The 6,393-nt window shown below is 45.3% G+C and overlaps 1 long non-coding RNA gene across 2 annotated transcripts; it reads right to left on the bottom strand.

Annotated features, from left to right (window-relative positions):
- Positions 1-612: 612 nt before the first annotated feature.
- On the bottom strand, positions 613-6,047 carry LINC02995 (long intergenic non-protein coding RNA 2995). Of its 2 annotated transcripts, NR_027108.2 has the most exons (4): positions 5,999-6,047; positions 5,306-5,452; positions 1,773-2,403; positions 613-1,571 (listed from the first exon to the last, which is right to left on the bottom strand). It is a non-coding gene; the product is annotated as a long intergenic non-protein coding RNA 2995 (long non-coding RNA). The 2 variants fall into 2 exon arrangements; NR_027109.2 differs by lacking the exons at positions 613-1,571; positions 1,773-2,403 and having other exon boundaries at positions 4,069-5,452.
- Between the last annotated feature and the right edge of the window lie 346 nt (positions 6,048-6,393).

Raw genomic sequence — 6,393 nt, 5'->3', positions numbered from 1 at the left:
CAATTTCTCCCATTTGAAATGGCTGTATTTACTCAATGCCTGTACCCCCATTGTAGCTAGGAAGTAACTAATTTTTTTTTTTTATTTTACAGGCTTATAGGTGGAAGGGACTTGCCTTTTCTCAGATGAGACTTTGGACTGTGGACTTTTGAGTTAATGCTGAAATGAGTTAAGACTTTGGGGGCCTGTTGGGATGGCATGATTGGTTTTGAAATGTGAGGACATGAGATTTGGGAAGGTCCAGGGGCAGAATGATATGGTTTGGCTGTGTCCCCACCCAACTCTCATCTTGAATTGTAATTCCCACAATTCCCACATGTCATGGGAGGGACCCAGTGGGAGTGAATTGAATCATGGGGGTGGGTCTTTCTTGTGCTGTTCTCATGATAGTGAGTAAGTCTCATGAGATCTGATGGTTTTATAAAGAGGAGTTCCCCTGCACAAGCTCTCTCTTTGCCTGCTGTCATCCTTGTAAGATGTGACTTGCTCCTCCCCACCTTCCACCATGATTGTGTGACCTCCCCAGCCATGTGGACTATAAGTCCATTAAACCTCTTTTTCTTCCCAGTCTCAGGTATGCCTTTATCAGCAGCATGAAAACAGGCTAATATATACCCCCAAAGTTAGATACTTTATCATATTACAGTTGTGTGGATTTGGATTTGCAGGACTCAGCTGGTTGATTCTCTTGATGAATGTGGTGCCAACGGAGGTCACTCCATGGTAATCAGCCTGTAGGTGTGCTGGGCTGGTCTAGAGATCCCAGGATGGCTTCACTTACATGTCTGGTGACATTGGCTGGTGGGGGCTGGCTGCAAGGCTGGGCTCAGCTAGGACCACAAACAGAGCTCCTGAACATGGTTTCAGCAACCTGGTGGTATTAGGGCAGTTGATTACATGGCAGCTTCAAGCTCCCAGAGAGTGTCCTAAGAGAGGTGAAGTGAACTGCCACCCTCTAAAAAGCCCAGGCCTGGAAACTGACAAGCACCACTTCTGCTGTATTCTGTTGGTCAAGTAGTCACAAGCCTGCCCAGGGCACCCCACCTCACCTCTCCATGCAGGGAGTGACAAGGAATTTGGGACCATCTTCAATCCACTACAGTCCCCATTCTCCACTTGCAGTCCGAATTCCCCCACAGGCAGCCTTTCTGTGTATCTGATGTGCGTCCTTGAATTTGAACATAGTGTCTAACGTAAGCTACCTAAATCTGTGTGGACATCCCCTTCCTTGCTTCTGACTGATAGATGCTTCTCCAAGGTGTACACCCACCACATTTACTTCTGTCTTCCCCAGGGATGGGTGCCTGAGTGGCCAACGCCCCTGCCAGAAACAATGCTGAATGAGCACCTCCCCACATGCCCCTTTTGGACAAAAAGTGTCTCTGCGCCGCATACCGAGGAGTGGCATTGCTGTGGGCAGAAGACTTACGCAGTCGACTTGAACCAGCACCATCAGACAGCCTCCGGAGTGGCTGCACCTTCTCATACTCCCTTGCAGAGAACAAGGGTTCCTCTTCCCCCCCTACTCCAGCTAACACTTGGCATTAGCTGACTTTCTAATTTTTGCTGACCTGATGAGTGTACAGAGTAAAGTTTCATGTTGAACTTTTAAAACAAAGGGGGAAAATACAGAGGGAAAAGAATAGGAAGGAAAGTGGTTAGGAGGGAAGGAAATGGCAGCTGGCTAAGTGGGAAGAATTGGGAAGTCAAGTTTTCTGGACTGCACAGTACCCTACAGAATCCTAGGGGCCATCAGAGCAGCTGCAGGTCACCTTGTGGAAAAGTGCAAAATACAGTTTAGACATTTGGAATTTGGCTTCCTGGCAGCCTGGCTGGAAGGTGTTGGTTCCACAGGGCCAAGGCTGGCTGTGCCTGCCTCCCTCTGGGTCCTGGAAGCTGAGGGAGGTGGACCAGCCTCCAGCTCCCAGGTTCTTATGCTCCTCCTATTTATCTCTCAGTCCTTTCCTGGCAGCCAGAGAGTCCATCTTTAGCGGGGACCTGTACAGTATTGTTTTAATCTTCAGCTCTCTCTGCTTCCTCTCTGTTCCCTTCCTCCCTTCCTCTTCTCCTTGTCTACCACACAGAACAGATGTGGAAAAAGCCAGGCCTTTAGGAACATCTGCTGAGACACCAGCTGCCTTCCTCCTGGGCTAAGGAAACTGTGACCCCTCTGATTATTGGGTTTCATCCAAGGACCTCAGTTCTCTGGCCAGAATATTTGCATCGAAGTCAGCAAGGTCTTCTAGCTATTTAAGAGAATTTGCTAAATCCCTGAAGATCTGTACATATAGAAGGAAGGGAGAGATGCTATTTTTTAAACATTGGCTGCAGTTGGAGCTGGCTGGCCCAGAAGTGCAGAATTCCCAATGCTTCCCAAGGAGCATGCATCACTCTCGGAAATACCTGGACACATAGGAGAGGTATAGGAAAAATGAGTTGAGTTGTTCTGATTAAGAAAGGAACTGCAATTTGGAACTTGATCAGCAGCTGCATGCTGACTGCTAGAGGAAGAAGGGTTTGTTTCTGTTTTTGTTTCTTTGTTTTTTTGGGAGGGGACAAAGTGATTTCTGAAAGAGAATGAGAGGGCCTAGAAGTAAAAATGAGGCAGAGGGAATTGGAGGAGGAAATGGCCAGTGATAAATTCCTCCTAGCAGGAGTTCCCCGCCCAGATGGGGACTTCAGTGTAGAATCATTTACTTTGGGGATGACACCTCTTGTTAACTGCAGACCTGCAGGAAACATCTGCTAAACTTGACAGCTGTGAGCTGCTGGTGGTCATTGAAAGACCAGCATTAAGTTGACAGGCAGAAAGAAAACACAGTCCCGGGGGAAGAAAGGAATGAGATGGGAGTGCTCAGTGTGAACAGGAAATCAGAGCCAGGGATGACCAGTAAAATATAAGCCCTGGGGGAATCTAGAAACATCTTGGAAAGGGCCCAAGGCTTTTCCATAACATGTGGACTGGGAGGCTCTCGGGAAGGACCCCAGACTGGTGAACTTGGGAATATGCAAGCTGAAGGCATCTGGGATACACGAGTGGGTGCACACACGCACATGCGCACACACGCACATGCACACTCACACGCACACATGCACACACTGCAGATCCCCTAGAGTAGTGGTCCTCAACCTTGGCTGCACATTTGAATTGCCTGGGGCTTTAAAAAATGCCAGAGCCTACCCTCACCCCAATGCCACCAAACCAATGACATCAGAATCTGTGGGAATCAGACCCACACGTCAGGTTTTCAAAGCTCCCAGGGCTGAGCAGCATTGTTCTACAGCCTGACAGCTCCAGCTGCCTGGAGAGCAGATGCCATTTACAGTCTCCTGCAACCAAAGACTCGCCTGAACCATCGTGCCCTTCCATCACACACCATACCCAGGCCTTCTCCCTTCCTTTCTCACCACCTCCCCTACCCGCTTCCCAACAGATCTCCTCCCACAGTCACAAGATAAGACACAGGCGCCCAGTGGAATTTAAGCCTGAGAGAAACCACAAATAATTTTGTTTAATATAAGTATGAGTTGTGTAAAATTAGTAGATGTCATGCAACATACTCATACTAAAAGTTATTTGTGATTTCTCTAAAATTCAAATTTAACCAGGCATCCTGTGTTTTTAGTTGCTAAATCTGACAATCCTAGATAGAGACAACTTAAAAACAAATAGAGAGTGTCCTTCCTCGACAAGGGACAGAGATCTGGTACCACCACTAGCACTAGACCCAGAGTCAAAGCCCAGGGCTCCTGGGCTGAGGCCCCTGGGAGAATCAGCAAAGCTTTTCGCCTTCCCCACACGTGCTGTGGGCGCGCAGTACTGCAAGTTATCACCACCAGAGGGCGCACTCTGAGTAGGCGGGAGGAGCCCGCAGGGACAAGACCCCAATCCACAGATGCTTAGAGAGACAGTGAGGGCGCAATCCCCAAAGGAGCATTAGTGTTCAACTGGTGGGGTCCAGGGACATTTCTTCCTCTTCTAAACTAAATGATCCCGAAGACACCTGAGATTCAATGAGAGAGAAGGGTGAGCCCGGGGTAGAATGGTAAGACTCAAAACCTGGCAGGTTTCTTTTACAGTGATTTATTGCTTTGATTTTTAAAAATTGCACAAATAAAATAGACCATTCAGAATTAAACGTGGAAGTCCTCCTTTTAATGTCCCCATTCACCTGCCTCGCATGTGTGTCATGGATCTTCCTAGATCTACTTCTACGCACGTGAGTGCGTGTGTGTGTGTGTGAGTGTGTCTGTGTGAGTGTGTGTGTATGTGTGTGTAATATGGGTTTGTTGGTTAAATTCTTTACACAAATCCCATCAGAATATGTATGTAGATAATTTCTAGAAATTTCTTTTTTCATCTAATAGATTTTGAGGAGGATCACTCTGTGACATAGGCAATATTAATTTCATTTACTCTTCACAATGACCCTATGAGGTAGGGGCTAGTGTTATCGTCCGTTATACAGATGGAGAAACTGTGACACAGAAAGGCTAAGTGAGTTGCACAAGATCACACAGCAAGTAAGTGGCAAAGCTGGGATTGAAACCTAGGCTATCTGGCTTTGGAGCACGAATGCTTAATCACTCTTCTGCAATACTTGGCTTTAACCACTGCATCACAGTCTAGCCTAGAGATGGACCATAGTATATTTATAACCACTGCCCTTTTGATCCATATGCAGGCTGTGTCCAGGGTTCCACTAGTATAAAAAAGGATGCAGAGAAGAGCTTTGTGCAGCAGCCAGAGGGGTTCTTGCAGGGTAGTGGCCCAGCTGTGGAGTATGCACAGGTTACATTCCAATAAATACTGTTAGATTTTATTCCCAAGAGGTTGAAACTTTCCCATTCCCAGCAGTTGTGTTAGTGTGCCCATCCCCCTTGGTGCCATCGAGGGCATGCAGGCAGAAGGAACAGCCTGTGGAGAGGGGCGTGGATATGGTTTGGGGAATGGCAAGAAGTCCAGTGAGGCTGAAGGTTGGGTTGTAGTTGCTGGTTGCGAATGTAATCTATTTTATGCTCTGCAAATTTGATACACGATACCACGATATTTCATTGTAGTTTTTGTTTGCATTTCCCCAATTACCAGGAAGCAATATCATCTTTTTGTGTGTTTATGAGCCATTTGTGTTTTTTCTTCTGTAAACTTTATGTTCATATTTTTACACTTTCCCAATGGGATGTTTATCTTCTTGGTTTGTAGGTGCTCTAGTATTATGGGATGTTAGTCTTTTGTCAGTTACATTTGCACGAATATTATCTCATGGCGTGTTGCTCTTACAAACTCAAGTTTTTAGATAGTAACCTGGATTGTCAAATGCGACAAGACGGTTTCTCAGTCACAGCTGTGGAATGTGTAACGAGACAACCTCTCTGAAGGGCAGCTTGGTAATAGATACCAAATGTGCTTTAAATCGTGTACACTTGCTGATGCTGGTATTCTATATCCATCCTAAGGAAAGATCAGGGATAAAGACAGCAAGTTAGCTCTGAAGATGGTCATTCCAGTTTTGTTAATGATGTAACAATTTGAGAACCTTTACATGTCCAGTAATAGCGCATTGGAAAAATCAATTACATCTTAATCACTGGCAGGAATATAATGTTACCATGAAAAAAGATGCAATAAAACTGTGTTTTTGACTGTACTAGTAAATGAAAAAATTGATAGCATGAAAGATTTTGTCCAGTATTATTCCATTTTTGTAAAAATGTTTAAAGTTCAGGCTGATAAGATATACCCCAAAATGTTGATAATGATTTTTCTCTGCATGGAGCTATTATGGGGTAATCTTTACTGTCTTATTTTTGCTACTCTAAATTTTTTTTAAATTTCTACAAATAATATTAATTACTTTTATAATAAATATATATTTTTAAAATTATACATACATATATATATACACACACGTATGCATATATTTATACCTAATTTTTTCTTTTGACTATTGGTGGTAGACAGCTCCCAGATGATCCACAGGCCCTCAGTGAAACTTACCTCCTGTTATTCATGCTTTTGTGTCCTCTTTTCTCAAACTGAATCAGAGCTGGTCAGTGTTACCAGTAGAATACTGCAGAAGTGATGGTGTGTCACATCCAAGGCTAAGTCATAAGGGCATTGTGACTTCAACCTTTGCTCTTGGATCACTTGCCCTGGGGAAGCAGCTACCATGTTGTGAGGCTGCTCAAGTAGCCTTGTGGAGAGGTCCACCTGGAGAGAAAACAAGGCCTTTGCCGCAGCCGGCACCAACTTGCCAACCATCTGAGTCAGCCACCTTGGAAGTGGATCCTCCAGCCTCATTCCAGCCTTCAGATGACCACTGTCCCAGCTCATATCTAGACTGCAACCTCATGAGAGACCTGGAGCCAGAACACCCAGCTAAGCTGTTCCTG

This window comes from Homo sapiens, chromosome 5 (assembly GCF_000001405.40).
Source record: "Homo sapiens chromosome 5, GRCh38.p14 Primary Assembly".
NCBI classification, from domain to species: domain Eukaryota; kingdom Metazoa; phylum Chordata; class Mammalia; order Primates; family Hominidae; genus Homo; species Homo sapiens.
This window is presented reverse-complemented; position numbering and strand designations above follow the sequence as displayed.